The sequence below is a fragment of the Homo sapiens genome, chromosome 7 (genome assembly GCF_000001405.40).
Source record: "Homo sapiens chromosome 7, GRCh38.p14 Primary Assembly".
Taxonomy (NCBI): domain Eukaryota; kingdom Metazoa; phylum Chordata; class Mammalia; order Primates; family Hominidae; genus Homo; species Homo sapiens.
In genome coordinates this window covers 65,286,793-65,311,011 of record NC_000007.14, presented here as the reverse complement: position 1 = coordinate 65,311,011, position 24,219 = coordinate 65,286,793, and the positions used below count along the sequence as shown (strand labels likewise).

At 40.7% G+C, this 24,219-nt stretch overlaps 1 long non-coding RNA gene and 1 pseudogene across 5 annotated transcripts in view; both read right to left on the bottom strand.

Annotated features, from left to right (window-relative positions):
- The window catches only part of LOC105375334 (uncharacterized), an 82,449-nt gene that overhangs the window by 40,811 nt on the left and 17,419 nt on the right, over positions 1–24,219 (bottom strand). For 2 of the 5 annotated variants that reach the window (XR_001744938.2, XR_007060361.1), the window contains exons 2-3: positions 2,810–7,483; positions 1,428–1,615 (exon numbers count right to left, since the gene is read on the bottom strand). This is a non-coding gene — a long non-coding RNA (uncharacterized LOC105375334). Of the gene's footprint in view, positions 1–1,427; positions 7,484–24,219 lie in introns of all 5 variants that reach the window. The other 3 variants (XR_927613.3, XR_001744935.2, XR_007060360.1) reach the window with 2 other exon arrangements.
- On the bottom strand, positions 18,236–19,389 carry LOC100419781 (zinc finger protein 267 pseudogene; annotated as a pseudogene).

Genomic DNA, 24,219 nt, shown 5'->3' with positions numbered 1-24,219 from the left:
TGAGTTTTGGGAATGTTGTGAAACAGCACACAGCGCATAGCAGCAATACATTACACAGCACAGAGATATACTTAAGCCTAGGAAAATAGCAAAGAATGCCAGGACTTCCTGCCAGCAAGAAGATTCTGTGCTGAGCCATGATGCGAGACAATCATTTCGTGATAACTGGGCTGGAAATGGCTATAATTTGCTAACGTATACCCTTTAGTACTAGAAAGATGTTCCTAGAATTATTCGGAATATACACACAGCATTCAGTTTTGATGAGGGCATGAGATCCCCCTTGGGCTGCAGTAAGAATGTCTAAGCCCATTCGATTTTGCAAAATAGCCTTTCACATATGATACATTTCAGTATTTATAAGAGAGATGCTTTGGAAGCTGTCACTTAGAGCCCACTGAGTAAAGTTGGCTAATGCCTCTATGTGCCATATAACATTTTCTAATCCTATTAAGAGCATGAATATTGCAGATTGATGGTTGTACCAGTGAAAGACTGACCTGGTCCATCTGTTAATCATATGTGGAAGATTGGGCAGATTTTGTATGGTTTTTACCTAACAACCTTATGCCTATGGGAAGCCTAGAGTGCAACATCCCTACCAGCCCAAGGGAAGCCGCGGCCACAGGTTGGTGCTGCAAAGTCCTGTTGGGAGGATACCAATTTAGGCCAGGCCATTAAGACCAATCTATGGTGAACACATCCCTCTGCTGGAGTACTATAATATATTGGTACCACTGAGAAGGAATCCATCCTATAATCTGAGTTGCATTAGGCCAATGGTCAAGGAAATGTTTTCATTGCTCCCAGAACAAGGAAGCTATTTGCCTTAAATGTCCAGTAGAAGCAGTTAACCAAATGCACCCATCCCAGATTTGAAGAAAGCCATTCTTGTATCAAACATTTTGGGGCTTGAAGGTTTGGATGGGCACTTTTGAATCTAATAAAGGAGTAGCTAATGCTATAACTTTGTCCCTTGTTCTATTAAAGAGAATGGCTTTTTGTGTCCTGGGTCACTTAAAGTCTCATTTATGGGCCATTCTGACACATTTGCTTTAGTTATCCCAGTCATTTGCAACCCAATCCAGTTTTCGAATTTCCTGGAAAAGTTTGTAGGTACACCCAATCTTTTCCTTGCACAGGTGAGACCCACCAAGGCAGACCTGTGGTACTAGAAAGCAGTAACAGGCCACAGACCCAGCAGGAATCCTGCTGGAGGCTGTCTGCATAGTCCTGCGCCCATTGTAGACAGAGGTTACAAGTGTGTAACGAAACAGTAAGAGGTATAAAAGGAAGCACAGCATAAAAGAAATCTGTATCATTTTCTGAATAGAAACTTTAAGTCCTCTAGGGGCTCCACTTCCCATTGAGTGGTTGCAGGTGTTTCCATTGTGGATACCCCAGGTGACTGGAATTTCTTCACTCACATATGATGAACCCAGGGTTTGATGCCTGTCAGCTTCAGTGCCAAGTCAGTAGTCAACAGCACATCGTAGGGCCCTTTCCATTTTTCCTGTAGTTGTTGGGCAGGATCAGCTTCCCTCCATTCCTTCAGCAGCACTTGATCACCAGGCTGAAATGGGTGGCGGTCTCCTGCAAAATCTGTGTCATTCCTCTAAGAAGCAAACTTATGCAAATCATTAAGAGTTCGTCCTGAGTGACATAAGTTTTAATAGCTAATTCTGTATCCAGTGACACTCTAGCAACCCAGGACAAGGCTACAAAGGGCGTCCCGAAAATAATTTCATAAGAACTTAACTTAATCCCATTTCTGGGGGCCATTCTTACCCAGAGTAGTGCAATCCCAAGTACCTGAATCCATTTTAACTGAGCTTCCTGACATAGCTTAGCAAGAATTGTCTTTAAAGTATGATGCATTCTTTCAGTCTGTCCAGAGGATTGAGGCTTCCATGCCGAGTGCAGCTTCCATTTTATTCCTACTGTTTTGCTTACTTGTTGGGTTATTTCCGAGGTAAATGAAGGCCCATTGTCACTATGGATAATGTCAGGGAGCCCATATCGGGGTATGATGTTCTTTAGCTGCACTTTAACTACCTCTGTTGGCCACTCGGTATGATATGGGTAGGCTTCCACCCAGCCTGAGAGTGTCCACTACAACTAAGAGGTATTTGTACCTTCCAGGGGCAAGTGGCATTTGAGCAAAGTCAATCTGCCAATTTTCTAGTAGATGCTTCCCTCTCGCCTGTTGTCTGGGTTGTCCTTTGCTATAGTTATTGGTCTCATTTTCAGCGCAAAGGTAGCAATGTTGTATTATACTTCTTAAGTGAGCCTTTTCCTTCCTATATTTTTGCACAAAAGTTAACGAGGCATCTCATCCAAAATGCATGCTATCATGAATATATTTTAGCATTGGGTTGAAGGAAGGTGTGCTGGCACCCAAACCAGGCCCTTGTTATTTACTTTCCAGCCTTTCTTGTCTTAAATAAACCCTTTGTCCTTGGCAATCTTTTCATCCTCAAACTACACTGGGGTTTGAAAGCTGCCAAATCTACTTGGGAAATCAAAGGTGCCTGGACCTTGGCACTGGTGCTGGCTAGATGCCTGGCTGTGCAGTAGGTGAAGGTGTTCCCCCTAGCTGGTTTGAAATCGCTGCTCTTATGGCCTGGACAATGCATAGCAGCTATTTTTCTTGACGCTGTTACTGCTTCCAACAGCTCCAACACTTGCTTAGCATATTAAATTTCAGTATTATCAGCTTTTAGCAGTCCCCTTTCCTTCCAAATAGCTCTGTGTGCATGAACTATCATGAAGGAATATTTGGAATCAGTGTAGATATTGGTGCTCTCACCTTGGGACAGTTGCAAGGCTCTGGTAAAAGCGACTAACTCAGCCTTTTCCGCAGAAGTCCCTGTCGGGAGTGTTCTTGCCTCTATTACCTCCAAGAGAGTTACTACAGCATAGGCAGCATTTCTCCTTTGTTGGTGACTAAGCTGCTTCCATCCATGAACAGCAACCAGTCTACATAGGGGAGGGCTGCATCCTTTAGATCTGGGAGACCAGAAAATACTTGATTATAACCTCTAGGCAGTTGTGTACTAGTTCCTTTGTTCCCCAGTAGGTGGCAGCAAAATGGCAGGGTTTGAGGCTCCAGTGGTCTGCAGTTTTACTGCGGGATTATCAAGCAGGATGGCCCGATATCAGCCTAATCTGACAACCGTCAGCCAGTAGCCACCCTTCTGCTCAAATAACACCAGGCTTGATGGGGCACATAAATCACGATGGGCTGACCCAAAGTCAGCTTCTCAGCTCCCTTGAGCAACAAGCAGGCGGCAGCTACTGCTTTGAGACAAGGGGGCCAGCCCATTGCCACTGTATCAATCCTTTTGAGAAATAAGCCACTGGTTGCAATATTTCTTTTAGTTTTTGTGTTAGGATCCCGAGTGCCAGACCCAGTCTTTCATGCACGTAAAGTTGCAAGGGTTTATGAGGATTTGGCAGCCTCAGAGATGGGGTAGATGTCATCTTAAGCTTTAATTGTTTAAACGCATTCTGGTGTTACAGCTCTCATTTAAAGGGGTTGTGGTTGGCCCCTTTTATCACTTCATATAGCAGCTTTACCTTCAGCCATAATTGGAAATCCAGATTCTGCAGAACCCTGCCCTTCCCAGGAAGCCCCTTAGCTGCTTTCTGGTTGTGGGTGTCATGATAGAGGCAACTGCATTTTGCCTCTCCACCGTCAGGGCTCTGGTTTCTCTGTAACAGAAATCTTAGGTATCCCATAGTTTGTTTGCATATCTGTACCCCTGTGCCCTTTTGCTTAAGACCTTGTACCCACAGGCTGCCAAATGGTTTAGTTTTTACAGTGTTATCCTGACATTCTTGCTTCAAGGAGCTGGAGATTAGCAAATCATCCGCATACCGTAGCAGTACCCCATTTTCCAATTGTAAGTCTCTTAAGTTCTGAGCCAGTGCTTCCCCAAATACAGTTGGGGAATTTTTAAACCCTTGAGGAAGCACTGTCCAACAATATTGAAATTGTGTGGCTGTTTCAGGGTCTGTCCACTCAAACAATAATTGGCTTTCTGCATTCGCTGGTATGCAAAAGAAAGCATCCTTCAAATCTAATACTCTAAACCATTCATGGTCTCTGGACAGGAAGATAAAAATAGTGTATTGATTGGCCCCAGTGGGGTGGGTGTCTTCTACAGTATCACTGATCACCCTTATATCTTGCATGAATTTGTACTTGCATGGATGAGATTTCTTTACTGGAAGAATGGGCATGTTCTATGGAGACTGACAAAGTCTTATTAAGACATGCCACAAGAATCAGAATGTACCAGCTGGATGCCTTCTAGGGCCTCTTTCTTTAAGGCGTATTGTTCCTTTCGAACAGGTTGGGTCCCTTCCTTCAGCTTGATTTCTACTGGATTCACATTAATTGTCCGCCTTGGTTGGTTGGATGCTGATACTTCGGCTTTACCTTGTTGAGGACTTCCTGTGGAATCATCTCTACCTTAAGGTGTGAAGTCTCCGATTTCATCAGGAGGGCCTGTCGCCACAATCTGTGTTCTGAGGGTACCTGGAGGCACATCTGGCGCATCTCTGGGTCAAAGACAACTCATGCCTGTAACTTACATAAGAGGTCTCTACCAAGCAGAGACATCGAGCAGTCCAGCACATATGGAAACTGATGAGGCCGGGCACCTTGGCTCACACCAGTAATCCCAGCACTTTGGGAGGCCGAGGCGGGTGGATCACGAGGTCAGGAGTTCAAGACCAGCCTGGCCAAGATGGTGAAACCCTGCCTCTACTAAAAATACAAAAAAATTAGCTGGGCGCGGTGGCAGGTGCCTGTAATCCCAGCTACTCGGGAGGCTCAGGCAGAGAATTGCTTGAACCTGGGAGATGGAGGATGCAGTGAGCCAAGATCGCACCACTGCACTTCAGCCTGGGTGACAGAGCAAGACCCTGTCTCAAAAAACAAAAGGAAAAAAGAAACCAATGAGTTATTAAGCCATTTCCCACCTTCCAGGATAGAGGGTGAAAGAACTATTCTGATTTCAGCTTTCCGCTCACCCCAACTATATTGACAGAGGTGTCAAAAAGTTCAGTAAGGCCGGGTGTTGTGGCTCACGCCTGTAATCCCAGCACTTTGGGAGGCCAAGATGGGCAGATCACTTGAGGTCAGGAGTTCGAGACCAGACTGGCCAACATGGTGAAACCCTGTCTCTACTAAAAATACAAAAATTAGTTGGGCATGGTGAGGCATGCCTGTATTCCCACCTACTTGGGAGGCTGAGGCAGAATTGCTTGAACCCAGGAGGCAGAGGTTGCAGTGAGCTGAGATCATGCCACTGCACTCCAGCCTGGGCGATAGAGCAACTCAGTCTCAAAAAAGGTTCAGTAATTGGGATATTAATTGACGAGTAAGCAGCACCCATATGGATTTAGAAGTCCAATTTTCATTTCCCCACTGTCGAATTTACCCAAGGCTCCTGAGGGAAAATCTTAACGTCAGACAGGGTTGGAGCCATCAGGAGTCTTGGGCCCCTCAGTCCTCTTTGGATTCGTTTTCAGGCTTAACAGCCATAAGTGACCTAAGCTCCTTCTTAATCAACTTGGGGCAGTCTTTCTTTCAATGCCCTGTCTCCTGACAGTAAGTGCATTGATCCTTTCCTATATTTTCCTTCTGCCTCAGGGGTCCCTTTTTCTTCGGGTTTCCTACCACAGTGGCTCTAAGTATTGCTGCCTGCCATAGAGCCTTAGTTTCCTTGGATTCCCTGCTATTGTAGACATTGAATGCAATGTCAATTAACTGAGAAGCATTCATTCCCATAGCCCCTTCCACATTTGGAACTTCTTTCTGATGTCTGGGGGCACTTTGCCTTGTAAGAGTCATGTTTACCATTCTGACATTTTTGGGGTCCTGTGGATCTAAGTCTGTATACTTTCTATACATTTGACAGATCTGTTCCATAAATTCTGAGGGGTCCTCATTAGGTTTCTGCTGAAGTTCCTGCACTTTGTTCAGACTTTTAGGTCTCAGCACCCCTACCTAATGTCCTTTAGAATACACCTTTTACAATGCTACAGACAATTATCTCCAGCTACAATGGCCTCATTTGGGTCCAAATTTGGGTCACTGCATGGAATCAGCTCATCAGGGTCTAGGGTATCATCAGGGCTTTCATCATGAAAGTGCTTTTTTTTCTCCTTTGTCTAATACTAGCCTTCTCTCATCTGCAGTAAGCATAATATTTAGGAGGGCTTGCACATCAGCCCAGGTAGGGCAATGGGTGGCAAAAATAGTGGTAACTGTTCAGTCATCTTCTGGGGTTCTTCCCTGTAGGAAGGACTGGAACTTTTCCAATTCAGTAAATCAGATGTGGGAAAAGGGCTTCATGCTCAGTAATATCCAGCCAGAGGCTCTTGCTGATTAACTCCCGTGGGATATTGTCAGAAGGGAAATTGTCCTGCCCCAGGCTTGGTAGCTCCTCAGCCAAAATTAGTGCCTTGCCCAGTTCAGGAGGGAGAGACTGTGTCTGTAGCCTCTTTGAACTTTGGGGGTGGTGACTCTTCACTCTCTTGACTAGGTGGTGGGACACTAGCTTTTACTGGATTAGGCATGTATAGCAATTGCTGACTCTAGCTCTTTTTCTTTCTTCCTCTCCCTCAGGGTCAGGTGACACTTTGTCTGGGTAATGCAACATTAACTCACTCCCTTTAACCTCTTGGTTATGTAGCAACATAAGTGCCTGAATGTAGGGGAATTTTTAAACGCTTCCTCCCATTTCCTCAAACATTGACAAAACAGCTGTAACTGAAAGATATAATAGCTTAAAGACCCCAAAATTGGCCACCATTTTTTGGATCCTAAAGCATACATTAGCCAAACCATATTACAATAGTAAACCATTTTCCTCTTAGTCATGGGGGTAACCTCGTACTATTTCCAATCTGACAGCATTTTTCCCAGAGGGCTCCCTGAGGGAAGGAAAGCAGCACTTTCCATTTTAAGTCTGACAAAACCACAGACATGAACATGGAGACAGTTTCAGACAAACACAAAAGGAAGCGTACTTGGGTAAAACAGATCTGAAATCAGCTTCAGGTTTACTCCTAACCAAATAGCAACTGAGTATAAAAATGAGCCCTACTATTTTCCTGACGGTATCAGACCAAACGGCTTAATAAGCCCAGATAAGAAAATAACAGGCTTCCTGCATATGATCCAGTTTTACTCACCCTTTGAGTGCATCCACTCCTGCCTGATCACCATTCTTCCCCAGTGGTGAGAGGGACATGTGGTTTTTGCACATGGAATAGCCCCTGGGAGAGTCCCCAGGACAATCTTATCCAGCAGCTTCTGGGAGTCTCCAAATGACCATCTCGCCACAATCACGGGCCACTGAGTGCAGCACCATTTCAGTGACTCTTGGCTAGCTTGCCAGATGTTGTTCCTGGACCAAACTGGGTCTGGCTGTGTGTTCTTGTGGCCCAATAACAAGATGCAGACAAACTGGGAAAGAAGAGAGTTTATTTCTGTAAACAAGTACAGGGAGGAGGTCAAAGATAATTCCCCAGACCAACTCAAGACTAACAAACATTTTTCCATTGCTTATATATGTTTCAAACTGTATGCTTATGTGCAGTATCATACTGACCTATGTCTACAGGTAAATAATTTTAACTAAAAGCTCAGAGACCAGAAATGTACCCTAAATCTACTTAATCTACGAGGGCCCTGGTACTAGGGTGATTAAGAAATGTCCCCTATTTTTGCTCTACTTAATCTGTGAGGGCCCTGGTAGAGGAGTGATTAGTTCTATCTTATATTACCTATGGTTTGGGTCTGGAGAGTTGCCTCAGATGCCCAATAAATTTATTTGACCCAAGATGGGTCCTGGTACAAGGAATGTGGGGCTATCTTCATTATCTTGACTTGCCCCAGGTTTTAGGAGAAACTTGCGCAAGACTCTTACCAAACATATATTTCATTTCTGGCTTTGGTGTCCAGGGATTGATGTTTCTAGGGTTAAGTACTAACTTAATGTTAAGGCAGATGCTGTGAAAGTTTGCCTGTATAACTTGAGTGCTATGGAGGCCTGTCTGTGTGACTGCTAGAAAAAAATTGGCCTGTCACACTAATAGGAGTGTGTATTCAGGGAAACTGTAATCTGTGCTCCCCTGTGGCCACCCTAAATTTTGCCATACCTAAACTCTAAACAAGATTCTGACTTTTTGATTATATTAAGTTGATGGTTCTCAGTCTCCACTGACCCTGGGAGAGAAACAGAATCATAGGACAATTCTCAGTGTGACAGCCTCTGTGCAGGAGAACAGAGCCTCCCTTCCATGAGACACCCGGAGTCTACCCCCAGCCCAGACACCCATCTGAAAAGCACTGGTCGAGACTCACAGGCAACCACACGTTCTTACCTCCCCTAATGTATCTCACTAGAGACACTTAGGCCAAATCTCAGAAGCCTGAGCACAAAAACTAACTGCCTTTCTTTCGGGTATTTCTCAGGGCATACTGTCAGGAATCATTTCCACATGAGAATGAAGGTGTTTTTATCCAAGAATGCAACAAGGGAGCATGGTTTAATAACATCTGGTTGGAATGGATGGAAGCCCTTAACAAAGATGCCATTATGCAGTGATGATACACAAAGCAAGTTGTGAAACATGTCAAGTAACAAATTAGATTATAGCACCATCGAAATGTGATTCTGTTGTTTTTGCTTACTTTCTGTGTGTTTTTTCTATTATGTTACAATATATCCCCTTTAAGTCCTTGTATTTTCTCATTTAAAAGTCTAGGGCTGGCCAGGTACGGTGGCTAACGCCTGTAATCCCAGCACTTTGGGAGGCCAAGGTGGGTGGATCACCTGAGGTCGAGAGTTCGAGACCAGCCTGACCAACATGGAGAAAACCGTCTCTACTAAAAATACAAAATTAGCCAGGCATGGTGGCGCACACCTGTAATCCCAGCTACTTGGGAGGCTGAGGAAGGAGAATTGCTTGAACCCGGGAGGCGGAGGTTGTGGTGAGCTGAGATCGCGCCATTGCACTCCAGCCTGGGCAACAAGAGTGAAACTCCATCTCAAAAAAAAAAAAAAAAAAGTCTAGGGCCAGGTGTGGTGGCTCATGCCTGTAATCCCAGCACTTTAAGAGGCTGAGGTGGGTGGACTGCTTGAACCCAGGAATTTGAGATTAGTCTGGGCAACATGGTGAAACCCCATCTCTAGAAAAAATACAAATGTTAGTTGGGTGTGATGGTGTGTACCTGTGGCCCCAGCTACTTGGAAGGCTGAGGTGAGAGTATTGCTTGAGTGCGGGAGGATGGATTGAGTCTGGGAGGTGGAGGTGGCAGTGAGCTGAGACTGTACCATTGCACCCAGCCAGGCAGCCAGCCAGACAGAGTGAAACTCTGTCTCCAAAAAAGATCTATTGCTTAAGCTAATTTTTAAAAAATTTTATTTTTCAAATATACTTTGAAAGCAATGACTCTTTAAAACATTATCTAAAGATTTTATACTCAAAATACCATTATAGTTTAATATTTCTGTTGCAAAAAATTTTACTTCTTGGCTGTGTTCTAAAGTTTTATATCTAAGGTATTTTTAGAAACATTTAGTTCAAAAGAGTGACGATACTGTGGTCAACATGTGCAAGATTTTAAATGAGAAAATAACCATTTTATATGCTGTGAAAAAAATCTCATAGCTGTAACTGGTTAGAATTGACATGAAGGCAGCTGTCTTAATGCAAACACATACAAAGAAACAGACAAGCAGAGCACCACTGTGGTTTGCACCAGGCAAGATAAGGAGAAGAGGGAAGGCTGATGCAAGTGTGGTTAAGGACTGAAGCTTAGGTGGTCCCAGGAAAGCCTCGCTGAGAATTAGGTTTTAGTAATTAAGTAATGGAGGGCAAGTGAGTAGTTATGCAAAGAGTAAATAGAAAGATGTAAATTTTATTTGCTGTAGGATTAAGATGTTGATGATCCTACTAAACTATTAATTCATCCAGTTCAATTATTGGCATAATCTTATCATGACTGTTATCTCAGTTAACTACTCTACATTAATTATTTTAACTTCCAAGTCAGGTTTATTACATTTGTAAGCTTTTCCATACCAATGAACAGCTTTTATTTTCTTGTTTTACCAACTGTATCTTTTAATATTCCATTTAGCCTTTGTGTGTAGATGGTCAGCTGAGAAGCCGGGACCCTAAAATATATGGCCTACAGATGTGGGTTGTACCCCATTTGCAGCTAGCCGAATGTTCTTTAAGCTGTCAATCAGAGAGATGTGGATCTTAGAAGGGCTATAGCTTTTGCTTCTTTTTTGGAGACCTTAATTACAGCTATAAAGGACTTCTTGGTTGTGGTCTCACGTGTGTTTATTTGTGTAGTTCTGAGACATTTATTAAGGTATCCCTTTGATTTAAAATTTTGATATATGTTAAGAATGTGATTAAAAAAATTGTTTGTATAGACTTCTCTCCTAAGCTAAATAAGATATATATCCAAAGAGAAAATAATTAAAACATTTCGGGCCAGGCGCAGTGGCTCACACCTGTAGTCCCAGCACTTTGGGAGGCTGAGGCGGGCGGATCACGAGGTCAGGAGATCGAGACCATCCTGGCTAACACGGTGAAACCCTGTCTTTACTAAAATACAAAAAATTAGCCGGGCATATTGGCGGGCACCTGTAGTCCCTTCTACTCAGGAGGCTGAGGCAGGAGAATGGCATGAACCCGGGAGGCGGAGCTTGCAGTGAGCCGAGACTGTGCCACGGCACTCCAGCCTGGGTGACAGCGAGACTCTGTCTCAAAAAAAAAAAAAAAAAAAAAAAAATTCAAAGGCAAACAGTTTTAAATAACGACTATCCTACACCTCTAGTAAAGAAATATGCCCCACCTCCAAAACTTATTTATTAGTAGTGTAAATTTCAGAATAAAATAGCCAAGAAACAGAAATGTTTGCTATTTATGCAGCTAAAACCCGGCAAAAATATTTTAAGAACCCTATAGTCAAAAGTTTACTTAATTGAAACTGATATTTAGACTATATATGGACACATACATTTATTTGAGGTCTCTGTTCTCTCCATAAAAGCTTCTCAGTCAACTAAATTTACCACTTCTTAAACTCCTGCTATCTATATGAACTCCTCATTTATCCTCTTGTTGACATATTTTTTGCCAAGGATAATCTAAAACATTATTGGCTTTTTGATAAAGAAGATATTTTCAAACTGGCTGCTCTAGAATTAGTTTTTTCATTTACTATGTTCTGTCAGTCCTTCCTTTTGCCACTTTTGACACCATATAAGGGGCCCTAAAGGAAATTTCTAGAGGCCCAGGGACCCTTTGAAGAAGACAGAAAGGACATAAGGGACTCTGTTTTGGCAGAGTACTTTTATTTTTTCTCACAGAGCTCCAAGGCTTGTGCAGGTGGAAAGGTTCCTCTTAGGTGTAAGCTCTAGTATATTTTTAATTGAACTCCTCAATCTCTTTGAATTTTAAATGCATCCATGTGTACACACATAAGTTATGTACTGTATCTACATATATGCATATGTTTATACCTCTGTTTGTATAGTATCCATATGGTACCAAATTAACTTAAAGATAAACAAGGGTTTGTAAATTAAATAAATAAGTCCAAATATTTTTCAAGTTCACACTACTTGAGCAAATTATTTGGTAAATGTAATTAGTTTAATATTGTTGCATTAATAAAAACAATTAGCTTCTGACTTACCAGCAAAATATGCGTGTATTTCACTGTAAAGCTATTGCCTCTTATAATACTTGCCTAACATACAGTAATATGAAATTAGCTAACATTACTGACATTAGCTAACACTACTGACATTAATTACTAAATATAATCATATACTTTTGGCTTTTTATTTCAGAGAAACAAAAGCTATCTAGATATTAGTAAATATGTTTTGTTCCAAACTGAAAAACTGTCCAACTAGAATTATGTTTCTAAATATTATAAAATGTGTATTTATAAATTCTTTTTTTGGGGGGACAGAGTCTCTCACTGTCGCCTGGGCTAGAGTGCAGTGGCACAATCTCGGCTCACTGCAACCTCCACCTCCCAGGTTCAAGCGATTCTCCTGCCTCAGCCTCCCAAATTGCTGGGATTACAGGCGCCCGCCACCACACCAAGCTAATTTTTTGTATTTTTAGTAGAGACGGGGTTTCACCATGTTGGCCAGACTGGTCTCCAACTCCTGATCTCGTGATTCGCCCACTTCGGCCTCCCAAAGTGCTGGGATTATAGAAGGAGTTAAACTTTCTTACTTCTTAGGTTTTTATACTATGAATGAACATCATTAGGATTTAAAATTCTTACTAACATGGTGATTGAAACTAGAAATAAAGAACAATTCTATATACAGTGTGTATAAAGAAAATAAGATATGTCTGTTGGAAAAAAGATCATATTGAAAAAGACATGAGGATTGTGGTTTTTCTTAAAGAAACAGTAATTTTGCTTAATGTAGAAATTATTTAAATGTTTTCTTAAATTGAAAAAAGAAAAAAATGAGATAGAACAATTAAATGGGTATAGAAATTGAAGAAAGAAAAAGAATAGAAAAAAATTATAAGAGTTTATAAACGATTTATAGAGGAGCATGGTGGCTCAAGTCTGTAATTCCAACACTTTGGGAGGCTGAGGAGGAAGAACTGCTTGAGCTCAGGAGTCTGAGACCAGGCTGGGCAACATAGGGAGACCACATCTCTACAAAAAAAATTTAGATACTAGCTGGGCATCGTGTTGAATGTCTATATTCCCAGCTACTGGGGAGGCTAAAGTAGGAGAACCCCTGGTGGGGTTGAGGCTGCAGTGAGCCATGATCACACCACTGCACTTTCAGCCTGGGGGACACAGTGAGACTCTGTCTCCAAAAACTAACAAATAGAAAAACCAAAGTTTTATAAAAAATCTTATTATGGGCCAGGCATGGTGGCTCATGCCTATAATCCCGGCACTTTGGGAGGCCGAGGCAGGTGGATCAGCTGAGGTCAGGACTTTGAGACCAGTCTGGCCAACTTGGTGAAACCCCATCTCTACTAAAACTACAAAAATTAGCTGGGAGTGGTGGCGGGCACCTGTAATCCAAGCTACTTGGGAGGTTGAGGCAGGAGAATCTCTTGAACCCAGGAGGTGGAGGTTACAGTGAGCCGTCATCACACCACTGCACTCCAGCCTGGGCGACAAGAGCAAAATTTCATCTCAAAAAAAAAAAAAAAATCTTATTATGAGCGGTCAAAGCTGACTGAGATTACACTGATCTGTTTATGAGATTTTATTGAAATTAGCTTTAATTTTAATCATACAATCAATTGTATCAAACATGGGATACAATTCAGTTTTCTTTTTTTAAACAGAATTTTTGTGAAGTATTTTTAAGCAATAATAAAAGACCTGGGGTTCACCTTTTGAGTAAACTGTGTAAAATAAAAAAGAAAATGACCAAATTTCTTTGACAACTGCATCTTTAATCTGACCATATTAAGTCTTGTACAATTTCTTCTTGGGGAGTTTCTTCTGAGCTTTCCAGAGACCAAGAAATGCACTTCACTGGGCAAACAGTTTATTGTACTTTTAACGTATGGCTGCTTTTTAAAACTTTTTATTGTGCATACCACCCTCTGTACTCTGGAGTGGTGTCTCACTAAAAATTTTAAATTAATTCAAGATTCTGGCTGGGCGCAGTGGCTCACATCTGTAATCCCAGCACTTTGGGAGGCCAAGGCATGTGGATCACTTGAGGTCAGGAGTTCAAGACCAGCCTGGCCAACATAGTGAAACCCCATCTCTATTAAAATTAGCCAGGCGTGGTGGCAGGCACCTGTAATCCCAGCAACTTGGGAGGCTGAGGCAGCAGAATTGCTTGAACCCAGGAGGCGGAGGTTGCAGTGAGTCGAGATCGTGCCACTGCACTCCAACCTGGGTGACAGAGCAAGACCCCATCGAAGAAGAAGAAGAAAGAAAGAAAGAAGAAGAACAAGGAGGAGGAGGATGAGGAAGAAGAAAGAAGAAAAAAGAAGCAGCAGCAGCAGCGAGATTATAATGGTAATTAAAAAGTTACCCAAAAAAAAGTCCAGGGCCAGACCGATTCATACCTGAATTCTATAAGACAATTCAAAAAAAAAAAAAAAATGGGTACCAATCCTATTGACACTATTCCAAAAGATAGAGAAAGAGGAAATCCTCCTTAAATTATTCTATGAAGCCAGTATTACTCTAATACCAAAACCAGGAAAAGATATAACAAAAGAGAAAACTGCAGACCAATATTCCTGATGAACATAGATGCAAAAATCCTCAACAAAATACTAGTTAACTGAAACCAACAGCATATCAAAAAGGTAATCCACCATGATCAAGTGGGTTTTATACCAGGGATGCAGGAATGGTTTAACATCCACAAGTCAATAAATGTAACACACTGGCCGGGTGCGGTGGCTTACGCCTGTAATCCCAGCACTTTGGGAGGCCGAGGCAGGTGGATCATGAGGTCAGGAGATCGAGACCATCCTGCCTAACATGGTGAAACCCCGTCACTACTAAAAATACAAAAAATTAGCCAGGTGTGGTGGCGGGCGCCTGTGGTCCCAGCTACTCGGGAGGCTGAGGCAGGAGAATGGCATGAACCCAGGAGGCAGAGCTTGCAGTGAGCCAAGATCGCGCCACTGCACTCCAGCCTGGGCGACAGAGCAAGACCCCATCTCAGAAAAAAAAAAAAAAAAAAGTAACACACCACAAACAGAATTAAAAACAAAAATCACATAACCGTCAAAATAGATGCAGAAAAAAAGCATATGACATAATCCAGCATTGCTTTATGATTAAAACCGTCAGAAAAATCGGCATAGAAGGAAAATTCCTTAAGGTAATAGCAGCTGTCTATGACAAACACACAGCCAACAATATACTGAATGGGAAAAAATTAAAAGCATTCCCCCATGAGAAGTGGAACAAGACAAGGATGCCCCTTTCACCACTTCTATTCAACAAAGTACTGGAAGTCCTAGCCAGAGCTATCAGACAAGAGAAAGAAATAAAGGGCATCCAAATCAGTAAAGAAGAAGTCAAACAGTTGCTGTTTGCTGAGGACATAATTGTATATTTTGAAAATCCTAAAGACTAATCCAAAAAGCTTCTAGATTTCATAATGAATTCAGTAAAGTTTCAGGACACAAAATTAATGTACACAAATTAATAGCTCTGTTATATACCTACAGTGGCCAAGTTGAGAATTAAATCAAGAACTCAAGCCCTTTTACAATAACTGCAAAAATAAAATAAAATACTCAGTAATATACTTAACCAAGGAGGTGAAAGACCTCTACAAGAAAAACCACAAAACACTGCTGAATGAAACCACAGATGACACAAACTAACAGAAACACATCTCATGCTCATGGATGCATCGGTAGAGTTAACACTGTGAAAATGACCATACTGCCAAAAGCAATCTACACATTCAATGCAATTCTCATTAAAATACCACCATCGTTCTTCACAGAACTAGAAAAAACAATCCTAAAATTTATGTGGAACCAAAACAGAGACTGCATAGCCAAAGCAAAACTAAGCAAAAAGAACAAATCTGGAGACATTATGTTATCTGACTTCAAACGATACCATAAGACCATAGTAACCAAAATAGCATGGTACTGGTATAAAAATAGGCATGTAGATCAATGGAACTGAATAGAGAACCCAGAAATAAAGCCAAATATTTACAGCCAACTGATGTTTAACAAAGCAAACAAAAACATGAAGTGGGGAAAGGACACCCTATTCAACAAATGGTGCTGGCATGCCACACATAGAAGAATGAAACTGGATCCTTATTTCTCACCTTATACAAAAATCAACTCAAGATGGATCAAAGACGTATATCTAAGATCTGAAACCATAAAATTTCTAGAAGATAACACTGGAAAAATTCTTCTAGACATTGGCTTAGGTAAAGACTTCATGACCAAGAATCCAAAAGCAAATGCAACAAAAACAAAGTTAAATAGATGGGACTTAATAAAACTAAAAAGCTTCTGCAAAGCAATAGAAATAATCAGCAGAATAAACAACTCACAGAGTGGGAGAGCTTCACAAATTATGCATTCAACATCGGACTAATATCCAGAATCTACAAGGAAATCAAACAAGTCATCAAGAAAAAAAACAATCCCATTAAAAAGTGGGTTAAGGAAATGAATAGACAATTCTCACAAGAAGATACAGAAATGGCCAACAGACATATGAAAAAAAGGCTCAACATCACTAATGATCAGGGAAATACAATTCAAAACCACAATGGGATACTAACTTACTTCTGCAAGAATGGCCATAATAAAAAAAATAGATGTTGGCATGGGTATGGTGCAAAGGGAACACTTTTACACTGCTGGTGGGAATGTAAATTAGTGCAACCACTACGGAAAACAGTGTGGAGATATATAGATCTACTATTTAATTCGGCAATTCCACTACTAGGTATTTACCCAGAGGAAAAGAAGTCATTATACTTAAAAGGCACTTGAACACGCATGTTTATAGCAGCACTATTTGCAATTGCAAAACTGTGGAACCAGCCCAAACACCCATCAATCAACAAGTGGATAAAAGAAATGTGGCTGGGTGTGGTGGCTCACACCTGTAATCCCAGCACTTTGGAAGGCCAAGATGGGCGGATCACTGGAAGCCAGGAGTTTGAGACCAGCCTGGCCAACATGGCAAAACCCCATCTCTACTAAAAATTCAAGAATTAGCTGGAAATGGTGGCTCACGCCTGCAGTGTCAGCCACTCAGGAGGCTGAGGCATGAGAATTGATTGAACATGGGAGGTGGAGGTTCCAGTGAGCCAAGATCACACCAATGCACTCCAGCCTTGATGACAGAGCTAGAATATGTCTCAAAGGAAAAAAAGGAAGAAAATATGGTGTATATTATATATACACACACACACTATGGAATACTACTCAGCCATAAAAAAGAATTAAATTAATGGCATTCACAGCAACTTGGATGTAATTGGAGACCATTACTCTAAGTGAAGTAACTCAGGAATGGAAAACCAAACATTATATGTTCTCACTCATAAGTGGGAGCTAAGCTATGAGAATGCAAAGGCATAAGAATAATACAATTGGGCTTTGGGGAATTAGGGCAAAGGGTGGGAGGGGGGTGAGGGATAAAAGACTACACATTTGGGTACAGTGTACATTGCTTAGGTGACAGGTACACCGAAATCACCATTAAATAACTCATTCATGTAATCAAACACTACCTGTCCCCCAAAAACCTATTGAAATAAAAAAATAGTAACACTGAAACCCCAAATTAAGTTCACGCATAGTCTAAATGAAGCATTTACAATCCCCTATATGCTCCCTGAATTACGAACACTGAAGGAGCATTTTTTTTTCCAGTACCATGATTATGGAGTCATGCTTTCTCCATTTTTAAAGCATAAGGCTATCTAATAAACATTACTTTTGAATAAACTTACAATTATTCTGATAGAAGTTATTTTCACTTTTCTGATATCTGAATTATCAAATAATATTTGTCTTCTATGTCTTCCATCACAAAAAGTACCCAACATTACAAAGATATGTCAGTATTTTAAAAACCTGACCATTTTATTATACTTAAGGAGCAATTGGTGAAATAATTTGGAAACTTCAGAATATTCCTTGTACTTTAATATAGAAGAATAATGATCTGAACATATATATTTTTACATGCATTACTGTTTTATATTCAAGTATTTTTCTTTATATTTTCTTTATATATTTTACATTTGCCATTAAACTTTCCTTAAAACAAACTGACATTAATAATTTTTACCTAATATAGAATGGCCTTTCATGGCCCTGAGGCAGAAAAAACAGACCTCATATTTTTATATAAACACTAGGAATTAATATATAGCATCGACTATTTGAGAATTGAATTATATCAATAATACTTGCTTTTCAAAAATTTCAAGTACTGCCAGTGTCAATAATATATCCATTGAATATGACAGAACATCAATGTTCTTGCTTGATTGAAAGAAATAAGCAAATAAATTATCTAATTGCCTTGACTTTATATTATTCTCTGTAATAAATACTCTGGTTTGATGTAAAGTCTGAAAATGTTCGTGCTTTAGTCCTTTCTTGTGTAAATCTTCTGACACATTTATACTCGAGTTTTATTAAATATTTCATCACATTTATTACATCTGTGAAGTTTCTTTCTGTGTGAACTCTATGGTGATTTCTAAGTTCCATATTTTAGATAAACTCTTTTCACATCAATTACTTCTATAGAGTTCTAATATGAATTCTCTTATGTTAAGTAAGGGTTGAGTAGCAACCAAATAGTTTGTGGCATTTCAATAATTGCAGGGTTTCTCCCCAGTATGAATTTCTCTGGTGTTGAGTAAAGTGTAAACTATGGTTAAAGGTTTTGCCACATTCTTTCAATTGGTAAGTTTTCTCATCATTACGGATTATCTCTTTTTTTTTTTTTTTTTTTTTTTTTTGAGATGGAGTCTCGCTCTGTCACCCAGGCTGGAGTACAGTCGTGCGATCTCGGCTCACTGCAAGTGCAAGCTCCGCCTCCCGGGTTCACGCCATTCTCCTGCCTCAGCCTCCAGAGTAGCTGGGACTACAGGCACCCGCCACCACGCCCGGCTAATTTTTTGTATTTTTAGTGGAGACGGGGTTTCACCGTGATAGCCAGGATGGTTTCGATCTCCTCACCTCGTGATCCACCCGCCTCGGCCTCCCAAAGTGCTGGGATTACAGGCGTGAGCCACCGCGCCAGGCTATCTCATGTTTTTTTAGATTTGATTATTAACTAAGAACTGTCTCACATTTATTGTATCTGAGTTTTATCCAATATAGATTCTCTAATGCTGAGTATGTTTTGACAACTGGCTAAAAACTTCTACACATTTATTATATTTGTATGACTTCTCTGAACATTGGTATTCTGATGTATAATAAAGATGAAGAACTAATAAAAGACTTTCTCACACTTTCTACATTTGTAGTGGTTCTCTAGAAAATGAATTTTCTAATGTTTTCTAGGGATTAAGCTTTGGCTCAAGGTTTTATCGATTTATTGCATTGCTAATTTTTTTCTTCAATAAAAATATCTTGGTAAATATATAGCGTAGAGCCCTCCCTACTGGTTGTCAAAGTTGTATTATATGTGTGACGTTTTCCACAATTATCTATTCCATGATATTGGCTAAGTAATACTTAATGGGTAAAGACCTTCTCATATTGACAAAATTTGCAGATTATGGCAGAAGAAGGTATTTTTTCTTGGTGAACACCTTTTAACAAGGACCCATTAAACTGATCATATTTAGAAATATTCTCATTTTGAAATATTTGCTTTTCAGAAATATTTTAATGTTTAATCCAGTCTTATATTTCAACTCGTTCATATGATTATTTTGAACATAGTCTAGATTACTATTTAGATTTTCTAAGTTTTATTTCAAAGAAAAATATGTTTCAAAATTGATATTAATATTTGTAGAAACACATGGTACGGGGCCAGGTGCAGTGGCTCACACCTGTAATTCCAGCACTTTGGGAGGCTGAGGTGGGCGGATCACGAGGTCAGGAGTTCGAGACCAGAATGACCAACATGGTGAAACCCTGTCTCTACTAAAAACACAAAAATTAGCCGGGAGTGGTGGCACATGCCTGTAATCCCAGCTACTTGGGAGGCTGAGGCAGAAGAATAGCGTGAACCCAGGAGGCAGAGCTTGCAGTGAGCCCAGACGGCACCACTGCACTCCAGCCTGGGCAACACAGCAAGACTCCATCTCAAAACAAAACAAAACAAGAAAACCACACGCACACATACAGTACAGAAAAAGCAATTGACATAAATTGTGCTGTCTTCGGAATACTTTATGTTCTTGACCTCTTTTAGCAGTGGTATGTTTGGTATAGGTAGTTGTCCTACATTTGGTATAGCCATCGTAACATCTATTGTGTTCTTCACACTTACCCTTTACTCTCCCACTCTCCTTAAGGGTAAATTCTCAAGGCCACGGTTCCCATATCTTCCCAATACTACTTTTTGAAAAAAAGCTTCTAGGGCCATACGTGGTGGCTCACACCTGTAATCCCAGCATTTTGGCAGGCTGAGGCAGGTGGATCACTTGAGGTCAGGAGTTCAACGTCAGCCTGGCCAACATGGTGAAACCCCGTCTGCACTAAAAATACAAAAAATTAGCCAGGCATGGTGGCCAGCGCCTGTAATCCCAGCTACTCAGGAGGCTGAAGCAGGAGAATCGCTTGAACCCGGGAGGCGGAGGTTGCAGTGAGCCGAGATCACGGCATTACACTCCAGCATGGGCGACACAGCGAAACTCCATCAAAAAAGAGAGAAAGAGAAAAAGAGAGAGAGAAAAGAAAGAAAGAGAAAGAAAGAAAGGAGGGAAGGAAGGAAGGAAGGAAGGAAGGAAGGAAGGAAGGAAGGAAGGAAGGGAGAAAAGAAAGAAAAAAGCTTCTATGCAGTGCTTTCTCAACATATCTCAGGTATAATGAGAAAACATATCTGAAAAATATTTTTAAATTTTCCAATTACTAGATTGAAGTAAATATACTACATAAATACACAAAACTAGGCCAGCTGCGAACAGCACCATAATAGTTGAATCAAAAACCTGAGATCCTTTTTTCTCAACATATGAACTTTATTTTTATTTTATTTTATTTTTAAGATGGAGTCTCACTCTGTCACCCCAGCTGGAGTACAGTGGCACAATCTCGGCTCACTGCAACCTTTGCCCCCGGGTTCAAACAATTCTCCTGACTCAGCCTCCCGAGTAGCTGGGACTACAGGCGCCTGCCACCACAACCAGTTAAGTTTTGTATTTTTTAGTAGAGATGGGATTTCATCATGTTTGCCAGGCTGGTCTCGAACTCCTGACCTCAAGTGATCCACCTGCCTTGGCCTCCCAAGTGCTGGGATTACAGGCGTGAGCCACCGTGACCAGCCAATATATTAACTTTAATGACAACAGGGTGAACAAAACCAGTTGAGTTTGCAACACCTCATGTGAGCAGAAAGCCAAGAATAACCACATTTAGAAGATTTGTTACATTCTGCACTACAGCACCGTGCAGTTAAACAAATCTTCCCACTTTCTGTTTCTCCCTGAGGAAAAACTAAAAAAGTGGAATGTGTATCCAAATTTCTGAGTTACGGAGTTATTCTTGGGCTATACAAAGACTGGTTATTGCTTCCTTTAACACCTCCTGCTGAAGAGAATAAAGATACAGTTAAAATGAGAGGTTTGGTCAAGAAAAATGAAGATAAATGCTTGCTACAACAACAGAGAGACTGTAGTGCCTGTAAGAGTGACCAAGGGAAGAGATTAAAAGCTCTTGAGCAGAAACAGAGGTAAACCTTTTTTTTCTTTTTTTTTTTTTTAAGACGGAGTCTTGCTCTGTCACTCAGGCTGGAGTGCAGTGGCGCGATCATGGCTCACTCAACCTCCGCCTCCTGGGTTCAAGGGATTCCCCTACCTCAGCCTCCCGAGTGGCTGAGACTACAGGCACATCACCACGCCCAGCTACTTTTTTGTATTTTAGTAGAGACGGGGTTTTACCATGTTGGCCAGGATGGTCTCGATCTCCTGACCTCGTGATCCACTCGCCTCGGCCTCCCAAAGTGCTGGGATTACAGGAGTAAGCCACCGCACCCAGCTGAGGTAAACCTTTTTAACAAGAAAATACACACAGTAGTCCAGAGAAGACACAGTTTTGCTAATAGGTTAGAAAAGCTCCCAGAATGATTAGTGTGGCTAAATGTTGTCAATTTTCCCCTGTGAAAAGCCATTCCACAAGGGATGAATAGGTAGTTGTTTCTTAATTGGCCAAAATCTCAACAAAATCGCAATACATAAAAGTAACCAGGAAACACAGCCCAGTCAAAGGAACAAAATATATATTCAAGTGAACCTAAAAAGTGAAAATTTATGAATTAATTTTTAAAAAGTTTAAATATTTTTATTTTTGTTTTTCCACACTGACAGGGTCTTGCTCTGTCTCCCAGAACAGAGGGTAATGGTGCAATCATGGCTCAATATAACCTCAAATTTCTGAACTCAAGCAGTCATGCCACCTAAGTCTCCTGAGTACATATGACTACAACACCTGGATAGTTGTTTTTAATTTTTGTACAGACAGAATGTTGCTATGTTGCCCAGGCTGGTCTCAAACTCCTGGTCTCAAGTGATCCTACTGCCTCAGCCTCCTAAAGTGCTGGCATGAGCAACCACCCCTGGCATTTTTTTTTTAAAGAAATAAGGACTTTAACAATAGTAAAACAGGACAAAGAAAGGCATTGCATAATGATAAAGGATTCAATTCAACAAGATAACTTAACTAGCCTAAATATAGATGCACCTAACATTGGAGCACACAGATTCGTAAGAGAAGTAATTCTAGACCTGCAACAATACTTAAATAGTCACACAACAACAGTAGCGGAATACAACATTTCGCTGACGGTGTTTAATAGATTATCTAGGCAGAAAACTAAATGAAGAAATTCTGAAGTTTGACACTTGACCAATTGGAACTAATAGACATCTACAGTATACTCCACACACCAACTGAAGAATATACATTTTTCTCATCTGCCCACAGAATATACTCTAATATTAACCACATCCCAGCCATAAAGCAAATCTCAAGACATTCAAAAGAAATAAAAATCATGCCAACCATACTCTCAGGCCACAAAAAACAACAATAAAAAGTAATACAAAGAAGATCTCTCAAAACCACAGAATGACATTGAAATTAAACAACTTGCTCATGAATGACTTTTGGATAAAGAACATAATTAAGGCAGAAATTTAAAAAATGTTTGAAATAAATGAAAATATAGACACTACATACCAAAATCTTTGGGATGCAGCAAAAGCAGTGTTAAGCATATAGAGAATCTATAAGAAACTCAAACATCATCTTACAGCAGTCAGAATGGCTTTTGTTAAAAAATTAAAAAACAAAACAAAACAGAAAAACAGATGTGGATGAGGTTTCAGGGGAAAAGAAACACTTATACACGGCTGGTGGGAATGTAAACTAGTTCCGCCACCATGAAGAGCAGTTTGGCGATTTCCCAAAGAACTGAGAGTTGAACTAAGATTCAGCCCAGCAATCCCACTACTGGGTACATACCCAAAAGAAAATAAATTATTCTATGAAAATAGCACATGCGCTTTTATGTTCATCACTACACTAGTCACAATAGCAAAGACATGGAATCAACTTAGGTGTCTATTAATGGTAAATTGGATTTACCATTGGTATTTTACACCAAAAAATACTACTTAGCCATAAAAAAAGAACAAAATCTTGTCCTTTGCAGCAACATGAAAGCAGCTAGAGGCCATTGTTCTAAGCAAATTAATTCACAAACAGAAAACCAAAAGATGCATGTTCTCACTTACAAGTGAGAGCTAAACATTGGCATACATAGACATAAAAATGAAAGCAATAGAGGGTGGAAAAAGGGAGGGGGCCAAGGGCTGGAAAACTACCTATTGAGTACTATGCTCATTATCTGGGTGATGGGATGATTTATTCTTCAAACCTCAGTATCATGCAATATTCCCATGTAACCGACCTGCACAGGTACCCCCCGAATGTAAAATTAAAATTAAAGTATAAAAAGGCAAGAAAAAAGGTCTTACTCTCTCACTCTGGCGAGAATGCAATGCCATAATTATAGCCCACTGCAGCATCAAATTCCTGGGGTTAAGCAATCCTGTCATTTCAGCCTCCTGAGTTCCTGGGACTACAGGAACATGTAACCACACATGACTAATTTTTAAAAATATTTTTGGCCAGGCATGGCAGCTCATGCCTGTAATCCCAGCATTTTGGGAGGCCGAGGTGGGTGGATCACCTGAGGTTGGGAGTTCAAGACCAGCCTGACCAACATGGAGAAACCCTGTCTCTAGTAAAAATACAAAATTAGCCAGGCATGGTGGAGCATGCCTGTAGTCCCAGCTACTTGGGAGGCTGAGGCACGAGAATCGCTTGAACCCGGGAGGCAGAGGTTGCGGTGAGCCAAGATCATGCCATTGCACTCCAGCCTGGGCAACAAGGGTGAAACTCCATCTCAAAAATAATAATAATAATAATAATAATAATATGTTTAAACACAGGGTC